This window comes from Homo sapiens, chromosome 11, assembly GCF_000001405.40.
Source record: "Homo sapiens chromosome 11, GRCh38.p14 Primary Assembly".
Taxonomy (NCBI): domain Eukaryota; kingdom Metazoa; phylum Chordata; class Mammalia; order Primates; family Hominidae; genus Homo; species Homo sapiens.
Window position 1 is genome coordinate 78,191,747 of NC_000011.10, and position 21,172 is coordinate 78,212,918.

Below are 21,172 nucleotides of genomic sequence, written 5' to 3' on the forward strand. Positions count from 1 at the left end.
TGCGTGTCTCCTTGTCTCCTTTCCCTGACAGTATCTGTGTCTCCCATCAGTGCCAGGTGGCCCAAAAATAGACTCATGACAGCCCGGCCCTCATCTTTTTTTTTTTTTTTTTTTTGAGACGGAGTCTTGCTCTGTCCCCCAGGCTGGAGTGCAGTGGCATGATCTCGGCTCACTGCAAGCTCCGCCTCCTGGGTTCACGCCATTCTCCTGCCTCAGCCTCCTGAGTAGCTGGGACTACAGGTGCCCGCCACCACGCCCGGCTAATTTTTTGTATTTTTAGTAGAGATGGGGTTTCACCGTGTTAATGAGGACCTCATCTTTTTTATACCTTGTCTCAACCCTGTGAATGGTAGGCTTGGAATAGTCCCCATTTTCCAGATGAGAAGGCTAAGAAGCCAGGCAGGGGCTCACCCAAGGTCACCATGACTTTGAAGCAGAAAACCTGTATCTTCAGCTTTTAACACAGGCTCTCCTCGGGGAGGACATGGCTGCTGTTTGCTGCTGCGGTTGGTGCGGGGCAGCTGTCTCTTGAGTCAGAGCCAGCATGGACAGGCCATCTCCTCACCCGGGGCTTAGCAGGCTAATCCAGCCCTCCTGAGGGAGGCAGAGTGCAGGTTCTAATCCTGCTTTGCCAAGGCCATGTTCCTCTCTCTGAGCCTCACTTTCTTCATTCCTGCCAGTGGGATAGCTGGCCTTGTCCTCCCTTCCCTGGCCTGATGGGGCCAGGTGAGGTGCAAGCCTCTAAAACCCTTTTGTCTGAGTGCATGCAAGATATTGAGTGGGTTTGCTGGTGACCATGGTGACAGCTGTCCTCAGACTGCCTGCGTGGGAGTTGGGGCAGGTGGGCAGGGCTTGCTTGCTGTGGCCAGGCTACGGACTGAGCAGAGGCTGCCGGCTGGCCTTGGAGATCAGAGCTCTCATGGAGCAGCTCTATTTGAACTGTCAGCTGCCAGGCTTATGTGGTGTTAGGTAGAACAACATGAAATTGCCAACATTTGATCATTCGGTTTCATGCGGTTCAGTCTAATAGCATTTGTCCCCATTTTACAGAAAAGAGGCTCATGGGTATGATTTACTGAGGGTCACACAATGAGTCAGGGCTAGAATGTAGGACTCCTCATTCCTAGTCTGATACTCTTTCTACTCTTTCTAGTACTCTTTCTACTACCAGAGTCTTCCCTGTCTCCAGAACTCCATTTCTGCCTGCCCCCATGCCCTCTTGCTTCACACATGATGCCAGTGCCTCATGGATTAGGGTTTCTTCTTGGCTGCCTGAGTACCAGGATTTCTTGGCATCCTGGGTTGAAAGCATATGAAATCCACTAGCCATCCCAGGGGTCTGGGAGGATGGACTGTTTGTGTGGGGGAGGTTGGCCACAGCAACTGCCTTGTCACGGGCACTGCCTAGAAAGGGGACCAGGGCTGAAGGGAGAGTTAAAAAAATTTTTTTTCTTTTTTCTTTTTTGAAACAGGAACTCACTTAGTCACCCAGGCTGGAGTGCAGTGGCGTGATCTCAGCTCACTGCAACCTTCGCCTCCCAAGCTCAAGTGAGCCTCCTGTCTCAGCCCCAACTAGCTGGGACTGCAGGTGTGAGACACTACGCCTGGCTAATTGATGTAATTTTTTTTTTTTTTTTTTGTAGAGATGGGGTTTTGCCATGTTGCCCAGGCTGGTCTCAACCTCCTGAGCTCAAGCCATCTCCCCACCTCGGCCTCCCAGAGTGCTAAGATTACAGACATGAGCCACTGTGCCCAGCTGGGAGACCAGTTTTTAAAGACACTTTATAGGCCTTTTGAGATTATACCTTGCAGGGGCACCCTTACAAACATTTCTGCCTCCCCCATCTGACTGGAAGCTCCTTCAAGGCAAGGACTTTGCTTCTGAAGCAACAGGAGTTGACATTTTCTGAGAACTTCCTTGTGCCCAGCTCAGAGAGCCTAAGTAACCTTTATGGGAACCAGAATGTATCCCAGATGAGCCACATTCAAAGAGTCAAAAACAACAACAACAACAACAAAACCCAGAATCGAACACATCATTTCCCTCATTTCCTCATTCAGGAAGCTTCGGGTGGACCCTGAACTTTTTCTTTTCTTTTTTTGAGACAGGGTCTCACTCTATCACTTAGGCTGGAGTGCAGTGGCACGATCTTGCCTTACTTCACCCTTGACCTCCTGGGCTCGCCACCACCCTTGGCTGGTGTTGAACTCCTGGGCTCAAGTGATCTGCCTGCCTTGGCCTCCCAAAGTGTTGGGACTACAGGCGTGAGCCACCGCGCCCGGCCGCATCTGAGCTTGTAGCAGGTGCCCAGGTGCTTCTGAGGCATTCTGAGGCTTCTGAGCAGGCCAGGATTTGGGAACCACTGATGTCTGCCATGGTTACAACCTCTAACCAACAGTGAACTCTTAAGAGGCACACACTCTTGGCATGAGAGATGCTAGCCACAGACTAATAAACCCTGGTCCTTTCCTGGTGGAGCTCAGCCTGGTGAGAGAGACAGATATTTAAACAAATGGGCCCTTTGTATCGTAACACGTGCAGCAATGGAGGTTAGGTCACAGCTGAGAACTAGAACAGAGCAGGGAGCTCACTGGGTCTAGTACATAGTTGGGGTTCCAGAATATCTGTGATTCTGAATAAAACTTTCCAGCTTATTATCCCAGAAATTTAAGGCTTGTCCACACTCTAGCTCCAGTTCTCAGGCATAAGAGTAGTTTTTACTGAGCCCATAAGTTTAAACACCTGTTGTCTGCTGAGTCTTATATCAGGTCCTGCCTAGATTGGGCATCGAAGCAAAGAAATGGTTCTGCGCTCCAGGAGAGGCATTACGTGTTAGATGTTAAGAGAGCAAGCTGTGCCCATGTGAACCTGCATGAGAGGGCTCAAAGTGGGTTGGTGTGGGACAAAGTCTTCAGGAAACAGGCCAGGTGGAGGAGAAGGGCAGAAGGAAGGCTATTATGGCTCAGAGGAGTAAGGTAGAGATGACTCACACTGCACCCTGCATTTGCTCATCCAGCAAATGCCTGTCTGCTGGGCACTGTGCTAGGTGCTGGGGATACTGTGGTGAACAAAACCTGAAGCTGCCCTCAAGAACCATATACAGCATTGGAGGGGAGGCTGACCCCAATCAAGAAATCATGACAAGTGCTACCAAGGAGAAGGACAAGATGTTCTAATTTTTAATAAGGGAGATTGACCCAGGCAGGGAGCTCAGGTGAGGCTTCCTTGATGAAGTGACTTTCAGCTGAGGTCTGCAGGGGGAGGGAAGAGCATACACAAAGGCCCAGGGGCAGAGGGCACACGGTGAGCCAAGGGTGACAGGCCGGTGTGGGCTGAGGCAGGCAGAGCCCTAGGTGTGCAGGGCTGGAGCGCGGAGATGAGATGCTGTGCTTCGGTGGAGGGGACTGGGACCCATACCCCACCAGCACTAACTGATTCCAGCTGTAATGCAAGAGGCCCCAGCGGATTGTAGGAATTAAGGGTGGGGGATGGATTCCGGCCTGGAGGACCAGGGCTATTCTCACTGAGGACGGGTGCTTTAGATAGGCTTTGAAGGAAAAGACGCTTGCTTGGTTGTGTGAGAGCATGGTGGTCGTGGGGGCCTCAGGAGATAAGGACGTGTCAGGCAGAAGGCACAGCACACACACGAAGTGGAGTCTAGCCAAGGGGTAGGGGAAGGAGCAGGGAGTTGAGGCAGAAAGAAAGAGTGCGAGGCATTCTGGGACCTCTGTCGGTTCTCCCTTGGGGCCTCTTGCCCTTTCTCCACAGAGGTGTCATTTTTTGTGTGTGCCCCATCTCATCTCCCCCATGGAAATGACTTGGCTGAGACTCTGGACAGCAGCTTCTAGATCCTGCTCTTACCTGCCCTGAGAGTGGACAGGGTCACCAGGGAGGTCTGGGGAGAGAGAAGCAAAGGGGAAGGATGGGGAGGAGGCTCACGTAGCCTTTGTGCGATTAAAGGCGCTTAGCAACCATAGCTACAAGTCCCTGGGGTTAATTTATTTTGAGACAGGGTCTCTTTTGCTCAGGCTGGAGTGCAGTGGGATGATCTCCACTCGCTGCAGCCTTGAACTCCCAGGCCCAAGCGAGCCTCCCACTTCAGCCTCCAGAGTAGCTGGCATTACAGGTGTGTGTGACCACTCCTGGGTAATGTTTGTGTTTTTTGTAGAGACGGGCCTCGCTGTTGCTCAGGCTGGTCTTGAACTCCTGGGCTCAAGGGATCCTGCTGCCTGGGCCTCCCAAAGTGCTGGGATTACAGGTGTGAGTCACCACGCAGGCCCCTGGCATTTATTATGTGCCAAGTGTTGTGCTTTATTTCATCAGGATAGCTCTCAGTGAAATGACGCCCTTGCCCCATTTCACAGATGAGAAAACTGAGGCCCAGAAAGTTTGAGTTGCTTGCCCTAAGTCTCAGCACTCGGGGACTGCACCGGGAACTCTTGAGCCCCGCGGTTGTCGGGCTGTGACCTCATTCCCTGTCCTCCGCAGCGCGGGCGCCATGGACAAGATCTTGGAGGCGGTGGTGACGTCGTCATACCCGGTCAGCGTGAAGCAGGGGCTGGTTCGGCGCGTGCTGGAGGCGGCGCGGCAGCCGCTGGAGCGTGAGCAGTGCCTGGCGCTGCTGGCGCTGGGCGCGCGCCTCTACGTGGGCGGCGCGGAGGAGCTGCCGCGCCGCGTGGGCTGCCAGCTGCTGCACGTGGCCGGCCGCCACCACCCCGACGTCTTCGCCGAGTTCTTCAGCGCGCGTCGCGTGCTGCGCCTGCTGCAGGGTGGCGCCGGCCCCCCGGGCCCCCGCGCGCTCGCCTGCGTGCAGCTGGGTCTGCAGCTGCTGCCCGAGGGGCCTGCGGCCGACGAGGTGTTCGCGCTGCTGCGGCGCGAGGTGCTGCGCACCGTGTGCGAGCGCCCGGGCCCCGCGGCCTGCGCGCAGGTGGCACGGCTGCTGGCTCGCCACCCGCGCTGTGTGCCCGACGGACCCCACCGCCTGCTCTTCTGCCAGCAGCTGGTGCGTTGCCTCGGCCGCTTCCGCTGCCCAGCCGAAGGCGAGGAGGGCGCCGTGGAGTTCCTAGAGCAGGCCCAGCAGGTGAGCGGGCTCCTGGCGCAGCTGTGGCGCGCACAGCCCGCCGCCATCCTGCCCTGCCTCAAAGAGCTGTTCGCAGTCATCTCCTGCGCAGGTGCGTGTGCGGCCGGGGCAGGAGCGCGGGCATGCGGAGGTCCTGGGTGGGCGCTTGGGTAGGTGGCTGTACGTGTGGATTTGTGCATGCGGGCGCCCGTGTGGCACGAGTGTGCCAGGCGGCGAATGCTCAGGTGGAGGGCTGCAGCCTGCCTTCATGTAGGTGACACAACTGTCTAGAGCACCTGCTGTGGGTCCTCTCCTGCAGTGGGTGTTGGAAACGCAGGGAGGAGCACACTGGTGTGAAAAGGATACGGGTCAGCCTGGCCGGAGGGAGGAACGGGAAGTTGAGCAAGCCACAGGATTTGGGGCGGGGGAGGTGGGGGGGGGGGTCATTATGGTCTTCGGGTCAGGTGAGTTTGATAGAAGCTATCACTTTAGAGCCAGGAGTTGACAGATTGGTGGCACCTGGCAGCAGGGGCAAGGTTCCCTGGGTAGGCAGAGGTGAGGGTCTGGAGAGGTGATGGAGTCTGCTATGCAGACTCAGAAACGTAAAATCTTGATCCTCCATTGACAACAGTGGAACTTAGACTACAGTGCAAGTGAGTGAAAGCAGATGTGTGCCTTCCCTGGTGATGAGGCTCTCCAGGGGAAAGGAAGGGAATGCACCTGGCAGGGTGAAGAACTGAGGACAACAGACTTCGAGAAGGAAATGGTCTTTCTCATCTAGGCCTCTGTGTGGCTCCACTTGGAGTATCTCCTTCCTCCAGTCCACGCAGCCCTCCCACCTTCTCTAGCGCCAGCGTTTCCCCTCCTAAAGGCCTTGCCCTGAAACCCACTCTTGATCAGTGCTTCGTCTGTGGCCAGCACAGGAGTAGCCCCAAGGCTGTGCTAGTGAAGGTTTGTTGAGTGAGTTTAGGTGGAACCAGAGACTTTGCTTGCTATAGGAGAGGAGGTGGCCTCTGCTGTGCTCTTCCTAGAGGCCCAGCCCGGTTCGTTGGCTCCTGCAGGGCATGGTGTGCTGGGGGAAGGGAGGGGCCTGCCTCCCTGCTAAGCTCAGCCCTGTCCCCTGTTCCAGAGGAGGAGCCACCATCTAGCGCCCTGGCCAGCGTGGTCCAGCACCTCCCATTGGAGCTCATGGATGGTGTTGTCCGGAACCTCAGCAATGATGACAGTGTGACAGACTCGCAGATGCTGACTGCCATTAGCAGGTGGGACGCTGAGGCTGAGCCATGATCAGGGCTGGGGCCCCTCCCTCTCTTCCTCTCAGAAGCCCCTTCTCCTGGGTGGGCCGCTGGGCTAGATTTGGAGTCAGAGGGCCCAGGCCCTCATGTGTGTTCCATCATCTATCCTTTCTTGAGCCCTGCTCTGTGCCTTGCCTGGGGCTGGATGTGGGGGACACAGAGAGCCTGCCCTAGTGATGCTGTCAGGCCAGGTACCAGCAGTGTGACCCTGGACATGCCAGTGAGCTCTCAGCCTCAGTTTCCCCCTCTGTAAAAGCAGAGGTGGGTGGTGTCAGGCGTCCTTGGGGTTGGGTAAGAGGGTGAGAGTGCTTCACGAGGTGCTTTCTGAGTGGGGCAAACATGGGAAGCAGAGTTTGGGTGCTTTTCAGCTCACAGAGTCCTTGCATATCCCCCACCTCATCTGAACGTCCTCCTCCCTGTGATCTAGACGCACCTGCCTGTCCAGTTGTCCCAGAATATGCCGCTCCCCTCCTCCCTGCAGGCCTTTGCCTATGCAGACCCCGTCCACCTGGCATGCCTCCCTCTGCCATTCTTTCCATCCCGTGTGCAGATCCACCGTCTTCGTAGGGCCTTCCTGGATTCCTTGCCTTTAGTGGGTAAGAGTGTGGGCTCTCGAGGTAAGTTGCTAGAGGTCAAATCCCGCCTCTACCACTTCTTGCCTGTGCGACCTTGGACAAGTTACTCAACCTCTCTGTTTGAGTTTCCTCAACTGTAAAATGGAGTATAACCAAACCCATCATCTAGGGTTGTTGTGAGGATTAAATTGGGTAAAACAAGATAATACACGAAACATGTCTAGAACTGTGCTGTGGGAGACGCCGTTATCATTGTTATGACTTTGCTGTCATGGTTTTGTCTTTTTCTAGCACAGTCTGCTGAGTCTAGGCTGTTTTCCTCAGCACTGACTGCATGGCAGCTGTGTGCTCAGCCCGCACAGGCAGGCTGTGTTGTGGGGTCCAGAGGGGCTGATACATGTAAAGTTGATGGAATATCCTGCTCAATGGTGAATACGACCTAAGTGTTAGCTGCTGTTATCTCCTTTAATCCATACAAGAACCCTCTGAGGGAGGTATTATCCCCATTTTACAGAGGAAGAAACTGAGGCCCAGAGCGGGGAAGTGGCTTGCTCTGGGTCACACAGCAAGGACTTGCTGGAGCCAAAGCTTCTGGCCCAGGGGCAGTGCCCTTCCAGGCAGAAGCAGCTGAAAGCCTTGTTCTGGCATTGCAGCCCAGTGTGGAGGGGCGAGACTTGGGGTGCTGAGAGGGCCTGGCTCCCTTCTTGGTGGGCTGGGAGCCTCAGTGTCTGGCAGGTGGCTGTGCTGGGCTTGTGCATTTCCCAGCCATGTCTGGTTCAGCCCACAGACCCCGGGGCTGCCCTTTGCAGGTGTGAGTCAATGTGGGAACCCAGGACATTACGGATAGCCCCTGGGCTGCCCTCACCCCAGCATTTTGGGTGTCCCTTGTCCCTGTGTCACTGTCACTCCCCTCACCAGGATGATTGACTGGGTGTCCTGGCCCCTGGGGAAGAATATTGACAAGTGGATCATTGCACTGCTGAAGGGCCTGGCTGCTGTTAAGAAGTTCAGCATCTTGATCGAGGTTTCGCTCACCAAAATTGAGAAGGTTGGTGCCCCTGTCCTAGCCCAGAGTTACAGCCTTTTGTACTAGGCTCTTGCCAGGGGCGGTGCAGGTCTGGGAGGTCAGAGCATTGGGCCTACCCACCAAGCTCGCTGTGTGACCTGGGCGAATTCACTGCCCCTCTCTGGGCCTCAGATTCTCCCCATTAGTTTCCCTGACTACTCATCCAAGTATGTGTGTCTGACTTTTGGTGTGTCCATCCATTCCTCAGATATCTATGTTGCTGTCCATCTCACCATCTGTCTGTCCATCTGGGTCTGTGAGCACCTCAGTGTTGATCCCTCTGCATGGGTTTGAACTCTAGGGTGTCTCTGAGTCCCCTCTCAGGCTTGTGATTCTACTTGGCCTCAGCAGCTCAAGCCTGGGGACTCCTGACCAGGGACTCTCTTGTAGGTTTTCTCTAAGCTGCTGTACCCCATCGTCCGGGGAGCTGCCTTGTCTGTGCTCAAGTACATGCTCCTGACCTTCCAGCACTCCCACGAAGCCTTCCACCTGGTAAGGTCCCCTGCCTGCTGCCCCTGGTGAGGCCCCTGCCTGCTGCCCCTGGTAAGGGCCCTGCCTACTGCCCCTGGTAAGGGCCCTGCCTGCTGACCCTGGGCTCTTGGGGCAGGTCACTTGGCTGAGGCCAAGCAGCTGGATCGTGGGCTCTGGCCTCCCTTTGACTGTGAGGAGAGGAGTAGTCATCCTATTTTGCAGATGAAGAAACTGAGGCAGGGTGTCTTAGATCATATTGTTGGGAAAAGGAGTCACCTGCCTGCAGAGCTCAGAGCCCCATCTGGGTCAGGGGACAGTGGTCAGGTGGGCAAGCCTCCCTACCTCAGAGAGTGTTGCGTGCTGTCAGCAGGGACCACAGCCCCGTGTCTCAGGTGGGCGGGTTGGTGCTGAGCCTGACGCAGCTCTGCTCCCACAGCTCCTCCCTCACATCCCCCCCATGGTGGCCTCTCTGGTCAAGGAGGACTCGAACTCGGGGACCAGCTGCCTGGAGCAGCTGGCGGAGCTGGTCCACTGCATGGTGTTCCGGTTCCCGGGCTTCCCGGATCTGTATGAGCCTGTCATGGAGGCCATCAAGGTGAGCGACAGTCCCCTACTTGGGCCTTGCCCCACTCTGACAAAGGTACCAGTGTGGGCCTTCCAGCGGGCCATACCACAGCTTGGTGGCAGTCCCCGTCATTTGGTGCCTGGCTGTCTCCCATCACCTCCCCAGGTCCATCATGTGCCTCAAGCACACTGAGCCACTCACGTTCCCCAAGTAGGCTGGGCTGCCTCATGGCTGCTCTGGGCTTTTGCACACACTGTGCTTTCTAACCATAAACGCTTCTCTGTCAGTGTAGTATGGAAATTAAAACACGTTCTCTTTCTCTGCTCTGCCTGGACAGCTCCTGCTTACCTTGTAAGTCTCTGTTCTAGTGTTACTTCCCTCAGGATGCCTTTCCTGATCACTCTCAGTACTCCCATGCCCTCCACCAGGCTGGGCTAGGGCCTCGCTGGGCTCCCACAGTCTTGGTACATCCCTCTGTCACATGTTATCACTGTCTGTCTGCCTCCCTTGCCAGACTGTGAGCACTCCAGACCAGGGATAATTTACAGTCGTTCACATGACTTTACTGACGTCCTGCTCTGCACCAAGCCCAGGCTGGGAACTGGGGGCATGGGCATGAAGCAAACGGAGTCTCCTCCATTGAGAGGATCGCAGCCTGGTGAGGGTGACAGACTTGGATACGAGAAACTCTGGTCGGAGCAGCTTTTGAAAATGTCTACAAGGTTTGGCTTGAGAGCAGTGAGAAACCAGAGGAAGGAAAGATCTTCTCCAGTTAGAGAGGACAGATGAGGCCTCTAAGAAGAAAGAGTTTCTTAGAGGCCTCATCAAGCTGGGCTTGACGGGTTGCTAGGATCTGACAGTGACTAACATCTGTGGCTACTGCTACACTTGAGATTATTTTCCTGTATGTTTTGTCTTCTGATGCTCACAAGAAACCTACAAAGATGATACGGTTCATTTCAATCTCATAGATGAGGAAAAGGAGACTTGGAGAAGTTTGGTGACTTGTGCAAAGTCACAGAGGTAGTGAGACATGTAGCTGGAGTCTGGATGGCAGAGCCTTCCCCATTGCCTGATAGAGAAGGCAGGTTGGGTGGGGTGAAGGGGTCTAGGTAGGTGGCCCTTGCAGAACCTTTGATCTGACTTTTACATCTGCAGCACAGCAGACGAGATAACCTGAAAAGTGTCCTGCTACAAAACAGCTAGAAATGCTTGTTAAAATATAACAAACATCACTTTAAGTACATAGCTAAGCTTGCAAGAAAGTAAGGGGGAGTCCCCAGGGGCCAAAAAGGAAGAGATAACTGAATTCCAGAGTGGTAGGTGAGAAACAATGTTCTTTTTCCTCTGGAGTGAGGCAAGTGCGTGGCTGAGATGGCCAATCTCAGTCACAAAGGGACTTGAGTTGGTAGGGACAGGAGGTCAGACTTTGGGCCTATCCCCAGCAGGGAGTTAGCACTAAGAAGCCGACTAAAAGCCAGGACCCAAGAAAGGTTGTACCATTAGCAAAAGAATGGTCTAGGAAAAAATATGCACATGGTTTTAAATAGACATCAGGGAAACTTTTCTGGCTTCGTCTGGGCTCTGGATTGGGGAAAAAAATGTAATCAGTGGCCTGCTCTCATGTGGATTTAGGGGTTCAAATTCATATCATTTTGGGGGTTGTGGCCCTTCCCCACATTAAAAATAGTCATAAACTTGTAGTACCCAAGGGTAACCTGGTAGAAAGACATAAATCAGGCCATAAAGGTAAAGTTCTACTGAAAATGAGTTTATAGTCCCAAAATTATAAAACACACAAAGGAACAATCCTGCATGAATGACAGTTGGTAGATACAACAAACAAAACTTCCGTTATTTACTTGGATCTTCTCAGTTTTTCAAACTTAACACGAGAAAGAACTTTTTGATAATCAAAGCTGCCTTACAATGGAAGGGGCTGCCATGATAGGTCATGAGCCCCCGACAGTGGAGGTGGATGAGGAGGACTTCCCTGTGTCAGGTGTGTTGCCCAAGGGTTTCTACATCGAAAGGGAGGTAGGAGGAAAGCTTGGAGATTCTGTGGCTGGGTCTGTCTGTTTCCTGCTAGACAGGAAACAGTGAGCTTCTGTGGGCAGGAACCCTGTCCTTTTGATCTTTGTGCCTAGTAGATGTCTGTGAGCAAATGAGTGGGTTATTGTTTGAGCAGGACTGTAGGAGAATGCTGTAATGAAGGTGCAGGCAGAGAGGAGGGACCCTGCCCCGGGCACTGAGGAAAACCCATGATGAGTGAGATGCAGGCTTTGCACAGTAGGGGCCCATGGATTGTCTGATCAGGGGATGAGGGGAGTCTGCACATACCTGTACCAGTAGGGGCAGGGAGTTAGGCTTTATAAGATGATACAGATACAGTCCTTCTCAAGGACCCCGCCTTCTCAACCCCGCGCCTTGAGAAGATCCTGGAAAGCTTCATAGAGAAGGGATACAGGAGTTTGATCTTACTGTACGGGGACTGAAAAAGGACACTCTGGATGCATCGGAGGGGAGGCATGGAAGTGGGAACATGTGAGGTTAGTTTGGTGGTAATGTGTGAGGGGGAAGGGAGATCAGAAAAATCAGCAGAGCAGTGCCTTGAAAACTAGGTTGCACCACTCGGCTAGATCTGGGCTTCTCGAACGTTTCCACCCAAGTACTTGACGTCAGAGAGGGGAACTCACCCAAAGTAGCCTGACATGAGCTCTGAGTTTGTCTACAACCTCACTTTATCTCAAAGACTCAAGTATGTATGTCGTAATTATAAACATGTTTACATGTTTTAATATTACATTTTTTTTTTTTTGAGACAGAGTCTTGCTCTGTTGCCCAGGCTGGAGTGCAGTGGCGTGATCTCGGCTCATTGCAAGCTCTGCCTCCCAGGTTCACGCCATTCTCTTGCCTCAGCCTCCTGAGTAGCTGGGACTACAGGCGCCTGCCACCACGCCTGGCTAATTTTTCGTATTTTTAGTAGAGATGGGGTTTCACTGTGTTAGCCAGGATGGTCTCGATCTTCTGATCTTGTGATCCAGCCATCTCGACTTCCCAAAGTATTGGGATTACAGGTGTGAGCCACTGTACCCAGCCCATATTTTTCTTTTCTTTTTTTTTTTTTTTTGAGACGGAGTCTCGCTCTGTCGTCCAGGCTGGAGTGCAGTGGCGGGATCTCGGCTCACTGCAAGCTCCGCCTCCCGGGTTCACGCCATTCTCCTGCCTCAGCCTCCCAAGTAGCTGGGACTACAGGCGCCCGCCACTACGCCCGGCTAATTTTTTGTATTTTTAGTAGAGACGGGGTTTCACCGTTTTAGCCGGGATGGTCTCGATCTCCTGACCTCGTGATCCGCCCGCCTCGGCCTCCCAAAGTGCTGGGATTACAGGCGTGAGCCACCGCGCCCGGCCTATTTTTCTTTGAATGTTAGAAAAGATGGCTTCACATTTGTTCTGTGGCTTCGAACACTCCTGGTACAAGCCAGTTTGAGAGGCAAGGCAGCAAATTATAGGATTTTACTGCTTATAAAATTATTTCGCATGGGTTCTATGAGTACATCCTTTTGTACATATGCCTTTGTAAATAAGTTCTGGAAAGTTCTCTGACTTAGGCAGATGTATCAGGTTGTGGCGGTTTCTTTGGGACCTGTGATACTTGCCAAGGGAGCCATCACACATCAGTTTCTAGTAACATTATTAGGTTCTTAAGTTATTTTGAAGTTTTTATTTTCCTGAGAACAAAGTTACCTTCTTTGGGAATAATGGCATTTGATTTTGTTCCTAGCATGGATATTTTTGCATCTTCTCTGCGTGTGCACGGATATGTGGGGTTGTGTCTGCCTTTTTGCCTCTATTCATTCATGTTGTGGGGTGGAGGGACAGGCGAGGAGGGCATTAGATAGGGTATCATGAACAGAAAAAAGAAGGGACGAAGAAGATACTGAGCCTGTATCTTATCTGTCTTCCCGCTGGCATCTCCTTGGTTATGTGTGTGTGTTTTTAAATCATCTGTGAGAAGTGACTGACTGCTCTGATAAATTATCCGATAAATGATCCTGGGAGGTGAATGAGCAAAAGTGTTAAACCCCACTGGGTGAGCAAGACCTTCTGTGGGAGCCACAGGATGTGCACTGGGGAGACGAGGGCTTTGGATGCTGAGCTGTTTTGAAGCTCTGTGGAGCCCTGGACAAATCTAAGGCATTGTGACCAGGATCTGGAAACAAGAACAGGGCTAGAAGAACTGTTAGGAATGTTGCTGAACTCTAAGTAGCGGGATGTGGTGCTTAGATGTTGTTCTTTGGAAGATACCTCTAGCATCATTAGAACTAGTGCTTGGTGGTATTCTTAGGTGCTGCTGTTTGATGTGACACAGATAATGAGTGGGAAGCATGCCAAGGACCAAGACCCATACCTCAGACCCCAGGGATTCACCCACTGTCCTGACTGTAGGGTCAAGTTTTGGGGAGGTGACTCTCTCTTCTTGAAAGCTGATTCTGCAAATCTAAAAGTAAAAGGTGGACATGGGCACATCATTGTGTGCCCACACCATGAAAACGTAGGATGCCAAACTGACACAAGGTAGGAGTATCATCACTTGACAGATGAGGAAACTGAATCAGAGAGCCTCGCCACCGCCAGACAGCTAGTATGGACCAGAGTTGGGGCTGGCACTGACATCCTGACATTACTGGATTTGGCCTGTGGGCCAGGGTTGTCATTGCCTGAGCTCTTTTATAGCACATGCATATTCTTCAGTTACTGACAGCGACCCTGGACAATTATTTTCTCTGTCTGAATCTTCATTTTTTTTTTAATCTATAAAATGGGAATTATGCCACCTTAAGGCAGTCCTGACCTGAAAGACCATGGAGGCAGCCCATATGTCAACTGAAGGGGTTTGGAAGCAGGGGGCTGTTCACACACACCCCAGAACATCTGTGGGGGGGTGTGCCTGGGAGGCCTTGGGGTTGGCTGTATCTGAGAAGGCCTCCCAGAAGAGGTGGTAGTTTTTTGAGCTGACCCTGGTGCCCACCATCCTGCCTGCCTGCTTATTCCCTCCTCAGGACCTCCATGTTCCCAATGAGGACCGCATCAAGCAGCTGCTGGGGCAGGATGCCTGGACTTCGCAGAAGAGCGAGCTGGCGGGTTTCTATCCCCGGCTCATGGCCAAGTCAGACACGGGCAAGATTGGTCTCATCAACCTGGGCAACACATGCTATGTCAACAGCATCCTTCAGGCCTTATTCATGGCGTCTGAGTAGGTGCTGCTTTGGAATTCCCTGTCTGCCCTTGCTTCTCTCCTCTGGGCTCCCTGATGACAGGTGGAAAGGTGTCCGGGGTGGGGGTTGGAGAGGGTGGGCCTTGCTTTGCATTGCCAGCATGATTCCCTGAGGTCTGTGGGGACAGAGAGCCTCAGGCCATTGCCAAGGCAGGTCAGGACTGGATGGGAACTCAAGAAGGGGCTTAAGGGGCTGGGCAGCCCTGGGAAGTGGGGTCTGCTCTGGGTTGGCTGACATCACTGACTTTTCTTCTAGAGTCTGTGGGGGTGGATTTTGTCTTCCAGAGTAGAACTGCCACCCATCCTGGTATTAGACATCTCTCTCTTTTAAAATGAAACAAACACAATCTTTATAGTCTATGGCCACCTATCTACCTTATGGCTTACTTAAAAGATCAAAGTTTCAGCTTTGATTCAGTGAAAATAAGCTTTGATTCTGGCTTATCGTATGTCCTCAAGTCAGTTTCTTTTCTCTGAGCGTCAGGTTCAGTGGGAGGAGATTGGAGCTGATCTCCAAGTCTTTCTAAGGTGCTGCTGGTGCACGTTCTTCTCAAAACGCCTAGTGAAGGACTAGTTTTGTTTTTCTTTTCTAATTCCAGTCTGCTGCAGAATATTACTTTTGTAAAATATAACAAAACGACTTACTAGAAAAACGGTCACGTGCTTGTATGGTGGTTGTGATGTTAAAATGCTGTGTATGTTTCTAAGTGCTCGCTCAGCTTCTGAACTTACCTTGTTCTGAGACCCAGAGCTGCTTGTGAGAACAGGAGATAAGCTGGGGCCTGGGAATTGGCTTGCTCCAGAGAATGTTCGTGTAGGGAGGGGAGCTATCTCCTATAGGATCAGACCCTTCCCACTAGGAGCCAGTCTACCCATCCCTAAAGGGTCCTCTTCGTTTAGCGTATTCCTCACATTGACCTCTGCCTCCCTCATTGGAAGGCAGGGGAACAGCTTGAGATTGCTCTAGGGGCAGGGGCCAGGGCCCTGACAGGGGCTGTAGGAGTCGATTGGAGGGCCCAGGTCAGAGCAGAGTCTGCTGCTCTGGAGGTGGATGAATGCCTTTCCCCAGGGAAGCAGCTAATAAGGGTGTGCGAGGGGCTGCTGCGGCTGGGATGATATTGGCATGGATCCTGTGGCATGTCCTAACCCTAGAATCCTGGGACCACAGGACCTTAGGACGTTTGAATCTTTAAGTCCTGAACGTAGGTCTCAGAGCTGGAAGGGGCTACAAGGGTCACCTTTGTACCCTTCATTGTCTAAAACATGTCTATTGTTGTGTTCCTGACCTCAGATACCCCAGGCTGAGTTGTTCACCTGCTCCTCCTCCCCAGCCCCTGGCTTCTGGCTCCGTCTTGGGGCAGAAATGTCTGTTCTGCCTTTGGCCTAGAGGCTCTGGGCTGCCTGTGACATGGGTGACTAGAGACTCCTTGGGGGCCCATGGCTTACCCTGGGTGCCCCTGCTTTGTTTTGAAGCTTCAGACATTGTGTGCTCCGCTTGACTGAGAACAACTCACAGCCCCTGATGACCAAGCTGCAGTGGCTCTTTGGCTTCCTAGAACACAGCCAGGTGAGTGTAGGGGCAGTCAGAGGGGGGTGGAGAGGCAGCTCTGGTCAGGCCCCGACATGGACACCTTTCCCTTCCCCAGGACCTGCCTGCATCTGGCTGTCATCTCCCATGTCAGTTGCTGAGCCCCTGGCCGGGCTGGCATATGGAACTGATTTAGTGCCCTGCTGGGGCAGGAGAAGGCGGGCCCCCTTGAGCCCTGTTCCGTGTTGTGCTGCCCAATCTTTCCCTTTGGCAATTCAGTCCATCCATCGCATTATGGTGTTGCCATAGTCCATTTTATGCTGCTAAAACCAAATACTCGAGGCTTGGTGATTTATGAAGAAATTTATTTCTCAGTTTTGGAAGCTGGGAGGCCCAAGATCGAGGGGCTGTGTCTGGTGACGGCCTTCTTGCTGCATTATAATGTGGGTAGAAGGCATCACAGGGTGTGAGAGCATGCATGAGAGAAGGGAAAGCGGGATGAACTCACCCTTTTATCAGGAACCTGCTCCTGTCTCCATTTGTGGCTGCTGGGGAAAGCAAACGGCCTGTGATAAGGAAATAATACATTCCTGAGGGCAGAGTGCTCAGGACCTCATCCTCTCTTGAAGGTCCCATCTCTTAACACTGCTGCACTGGGGATTATGTTTCCAACACATGCTTTTTGGAGGACACAGTCACACCACAGCATGTTGCTTCATTCTGCTGTTATTTTTGAGTACCCACATGGCCAGGCAGCCTGAGAGCTGTTGAGGGTACAGAGGTGAACAGAACAAACACCATCTCTGCCCTCATGGAGCCTAAAGCCCTTGGCCAGGGATTATGCAAAGCTCTGTGTGGGGGCACAGAAATGAGTAATCCCTCCCTGGCTCATGGAGGGAAGGGAAAGGTCAGTGAGGGAGGGTTGGGAAGATGACATGGAAGAGGCAGCGCTGTATCTGGGACTCATCTTGACGGGAGAGAATGGCAGTGAGTGGAGGCAGGGAGAGAATGTTTGAGGTGTGCCAGGAAGAGAAGATTCCTAGAGCCTCGTTCATTTCTCTGAGCCCAATGCCCTGCTCAGCCCTGCTCAGAGGCGTGGACATGTGGGCTGGGTTGGGTCAGGGACAATAGAAAAGCGGGGAGGACCTCATGGAGGAGGCCAGGAAGTTTGAGGCCGAGGGAATGAGGTAGACCCTCAGGCCTAACCTGTGCAGAGCTGGCTGGTGAGTGGCCTCCTGCTCCTGACCATGCCTTTCGCCTGCCTTGTCCTAGCGGCCTGCCATTTCCCCAGAGAACTTCCTCTCCGCATCCTGGACGCCCTGGTTCAGCCCTGGCACCCAGCAGGACTGCTCGGAGTATCTGAAGTACCTGCTGGATCGGTAAGGGGGCCAGGGCTACGCGAAGACTCCAGGTCTAGAGGGTCCTTGGGGGCAAGCCCAGTACCTCTGAGCTGTGTTGCAGCGTCCAGGGAATAAGTGTGCTGCCTCCAACATGTGGAGGGCGTGGAGAAGGGGTGTGCTGGAAGGGCAGGGACTGAGTGTGAGGGAGGTTTGGTAGATGCTGAGTGGAAGTGATCTCTGGGAGGTCATTGTGTATGTCTGCACACCGGGCCGTGCATCTTTGTCACTGCCATGGGAGCACATTACATAGCTCCAGCAAGTCTTTATGTAGGGCGTGTGGGTGAGTGTAGCAAGCGTGCTGTTGTGAGCATGTACGTGGATGTGTGGGTGTTTGGTGTGTGCATGTGTGTTTGTGTGCGTCTCAATGTGTGGCTGTTGGGGAAGGTAAATGGGCATGGATAAGCTGAGTGCCCCGGAAGGGGACCCGCATGTACATGTAGTGACTCTGTGCTCTCTGCCCCAGGCTGCACGAAGAGGAGAAAACGGGCACAAGGATCTGCCAGAAACTCAAGCAGTCCAGCTCGCCCTCTCCGCCCGAGGAGCCCCCGGCCCCAAGTTCAACCTCTGTGGAAAAAATGTTTGGAGGCAAGATAGTGACTCGGATCTGCTGTCTCTGCTGCCTCAACGTCTCCTCCCGGGAGGAGGCCTTCACGGACCTCTCTCTCGCCTTCCCTCCTCCTGAGCGCTGTCGCCGCCGCCGCCTGGGCTCTGTGATGCGCCCCACAGAAGACATCACAGCCCGGGAGTTGCCCCCACCAACCAGTGCACAGGGGCCAGGCAGGGTGGGTCCTCGGAGGCAAAGGAAACACTGCATCACAGAGGACACCCCCCCCACCAGCCTGTACATCGAAGGCCTGGACTCCAAGGAAGCTGGTGGGCAGAGCAGTCAGGAGGAAAGGATAGAGAGGGAGGAAGAAGGGAAGGAGGAGAGAACGGAGAAGGAAGAAGTGGGGGAGGAGGAGGAAAGCACCAGAGGGGAAGGAGAGAGGGAGAAAGAGGAGGAGGTGGAAGAGGAAGAAGAGAAGGTGGAGAAGGAGACAGAAAAGGAGGCTGAGCAGGAAAAGGAAGAAGACAGCCTGGGAGCGGGGACCCACCCGGATGCTGCCATCCCCTCCGGGGAGCGGACATGTGGCTCTGAGGGCTCCCGCTCCGTCCTGGACCTGGTTAACTACTTCCTGTCCCCCGAGAAGCTGACAGCAGAAAACCGCTACTACTGCGAGTCGTGTGCCTCCCTGCAGGATGCCGAGAAGGTGGTGGAGCTGAGCCAAGGGCCGTGCTACCTCATCCTCACACTGCTGCGCTTCTCTTTCGACCTGCGCACCATGCGGCGCCGCAAGATCCTGGATGACGTCTCCATCCCCCTGCTGCTCCGCCTGCCACTGGCTGGTGGCCGTGGCCAGGCCTATGACCTCTGCAGTGTGGTGGTGCACTCTGGAGTGTCTTCGGAGAGTGGTCACTACTACTGCTATGCCCGTGAGGGCGCTGCCCGCCCTGCCGCTTCTCTGGGAACTGCCGATAGGCCAGAGCCCGAGAACCAGTGGTACCTGTTCAATGACACTCGGGTGTCCTTCTCTTCCTTCGAATCTGTCAGCAACGTCACCTCCTTCTTCCCTAAGGACACAGCCTATGTGCTGTTTTACCGGCAGCGGCCCAGGGAGGGGCCCGAGGCTGAGTTGGGCTCTTCTAGAGTCCGGACAGAGCCCACCCTGCACAAGGACTTGATGGAAGCCATTTCCAAAGACAACATCCTTTACCTACAGGTGAGCTGAGCCGTGGGGCCTTTGATCTGATCTCTTGGTGGAGGGAGTCCAGTCCCACTACTGGCTTAGATAAGTCATTTCCCCTCTAAGTCTTTTTTGTAAATCCCATTCATCTGTTGCTCAGTGCTGGGTATATACTGGTGGCCCAGACAGACCTAACCCCTTACTTCAAAGTAACAGACACTGAGTAATGAATGACGCAGTTTATTTTTTAAGTTCCAGGGTACATGTGTAGAATGTGCAGATTTGTTACTTAAACGTGTGCCATGGTGGTTTGCTGCACAGATCAACCCATCACCTAAGTATTAAACCCTGTATCTGTTAGCTATTCTTCCTGAAGCTCGCCCTCCCCCGCCACCCCCCAACAGGCCCTAGTGGGTGTTGGTCCCCTCCCACCCCCACCAGGTGTCCATGTATTCTCATTGTTCAGCTCCCACTTATGAGTAAGAGCATGCGGTATTTGGTTTTCTGTTCCTGCGTTAATTTGCTGAGGATAACGGCTTCCAGCTCCGTCCATGTCCCTGCAGAGGACATGATCTCGTTCCTTTTTATGGATGCATAGTATTCTGTGGTGTATATGTGCCACATTTTCTTTATCCAGTCTATCATTGATGGGCATTTGGGTTGATTCCATGTCTTTGCTATTGTGAAATGTGCTGCAGTGAACATACATGTGCATGTATCTTTATAATAGAATGACTTATATTCCTTTGGGTGTATAGCCAGTAATGGGATTGCTGGGTCAAATGGTATTTCTGCCTCTAGGTCTTTGAGGAATTGCCACACTGTCTTCCATGATGGTTGAATTAATTTACACTCCCACCAACAGTGTAAAGGTATTCCTATTTCTCTGCAACCTCACCAGCATATGTTGTTTCCTGACTTTTTAATAATCACCATTCTGGCTTGCGTGAGATGGTATCTCATTGTGGTTTTGATTTCTCTAATGGTCAGTGATGTTGAATTTTTCTTTCGTACGTTTGTTGGCCACATGAATGAATGTCTTTTGAGAAGTGTCTGTTCATGTCCTTTGCCCACTTTTTAATGGGGTTGTTTTTTTCTTGGACATTTAAGTTCCTTGTAGACTCTGGATATCGGACTTAGGTCAGATGGGTAGTTTGCAAAAATTTTTTTTCATTCTGTAGGTTGTGTCTACTCTGATGATAGTTCCTTGTACTCCGCATAAGCTCTTTAGTTTAAGTGGATCCCATTTGTCATTGTTTGCTTTTGTTGCAATTGCTTTTGATGTTTCCATCATTAAATCTTTGCCTATGCCTATGTCCTGAATGGTATTTCCTAGATTTTCTTCTAGGGGTTTAATACCTTTGGGTTTTACATTTAAGTCTTTAATCCATCGAGTGAATTTTTTGTATAAGGTATAAGGAGGGGGTCGAATGTCAACATTCTGCCTATGGCTAGCCAGTTCTTCCAGCAACATTTATTAAACAGGGAATCTTTTACCCATTGCTTGTTTTTGTCAGGTTTGTTGAAGATGGTTGTAGGTGTGGAGTCTTATTTCTGAGTGAGTTCTCTATTCTGTTCCATTGGTCTATGTGTCTGTTTTTATACCAGTACTATACTACAAGGCTACAGTAAGCAAAACAGCATAGTTTGAAGTCAGGTAGGCATTAGGCTTCCACTTTTGTTCTTTTTGCTTAGGATGGTCTTGGCTATATGGACTTTTTGGCTCCGTATGAATTTTAAAATAGTTTTTTCTAATTCTGTGAATGTGAATGGTAGTTTAACGGGAATAGCATTGAATCTGTTAATTACATTGGGCAGTATGGCCATTTTCATGCTATTGAGTCTTCCTATCTATCTGTGAGCATGGAATGTTTTTCCATTTGTGTCCTCTCCTTCACTTCCCTTGTTAGCTGTATTCCTAGGTATTTTATTCTGTTTGTAGCAGTTGTGAATGGGAGTTTGTTCATGATTTGGCTCCCTGCTTCTTGTTGGTGTATAGGAATGCTAGCAATTTTTGCACATTGGTTTTTGTATGTATCATCTTGAGAGTTGCTGAAGTTGCTTAACAGCTTAAGAAGCTCCTGGGATGAGATAATGACATGATTCTGTATCATCTAGAAAACCCCATTAATGCAGTTAATAAGTGTGCTGAAGGAGGAGTACAGGGACCAGTTGAGTCTGAGGGGGAGGAGGATGCTTCGGGTGTGGGG

At 52.3% G+C, this 21,172-nt stretch overlaps 1 protein-coding gene across 7 annotated transcripts in view, besides 1 other annotated feature; it reads left to right on the forward strand.

Moving 5' to 3' along the window:
- The window catches only part of USP35 (ubiquitin specific peptidase 35), a 48,301-nt gene that overhangs the window by 2,828 nt on the left and 24,301 nt on the right, over nucleotides 1-21,172 (forward strand). For 5 of the 7 annotated variants that reach the window (XR_001747930.2, XM_047427335.1, XM_047427334.1 and 2 more), the window contains exons 2-10: nucleotides 4,490-5,172; nucleotides 6,190-6,322; nucleotides 7,849-7,978; nucleotides 8,387-8,488; nucleotides 8,904-9,062; nucleotides 14,096-14,289; nucleotides 15,784-15,877; nucleotides 17,111-17,217; nucleotides 17,702-18,998. Coding sequence is in view for 6 of the 7 variants with exons in the window: in XM_047427335.1 (XP_047283291.1) it covers nucleotides 4,500-5,172; nucleotides 6,190-6,322; nucleotides 7,849-7,978; nucleotides 8,387-8,488; nucleotides 8,904-9,062; nucleotides 14,096-14,289; nucleotides 15,784-15,877; nucleotides 17,111-17,217; nucleotides 17,702-18,998 (2,889 nt within the window). In the remaining variant the exon portion in view is untranslated. Of the gene's footprint in view, nucleotides 1-4,489; nucleotides 5,173-6,189; nucleotides 6,323-6,863; nucleotides 6,973-7,848; nucleotides 7,979-8,386; nucleotides 8,489-8,903; nucleotides 9,063-14,095; nucleotides 14,290-15,783; nucleotides 15,878-17,110; nucleotides 17,218-17,701; nucleotides 18,999-21,172 lie in introns of those variants that run through there. The other 2 variants (XM_011545188.3, XM_011545187.3) reach the window with 2 other exon arrangements.
- Nucleotides 18,613-19,239: an enhancer, noted in NCBI's record as "H3K4me1 hESC enhancer chr11:77921405-77922031 (GRCh37/hg19 assembly coordinates)". NCBI's record gives its function as "activates a minimal SCP1, AML or CMV promoter by ChIP-STARR-seq in primed H9 embryonic stem cells {active_cell/tissue: H9 hESC(primed)}" and the evidence as "EXISTENCE:reporter gene assay evidence [ECO:0000049][PMID:30033119]".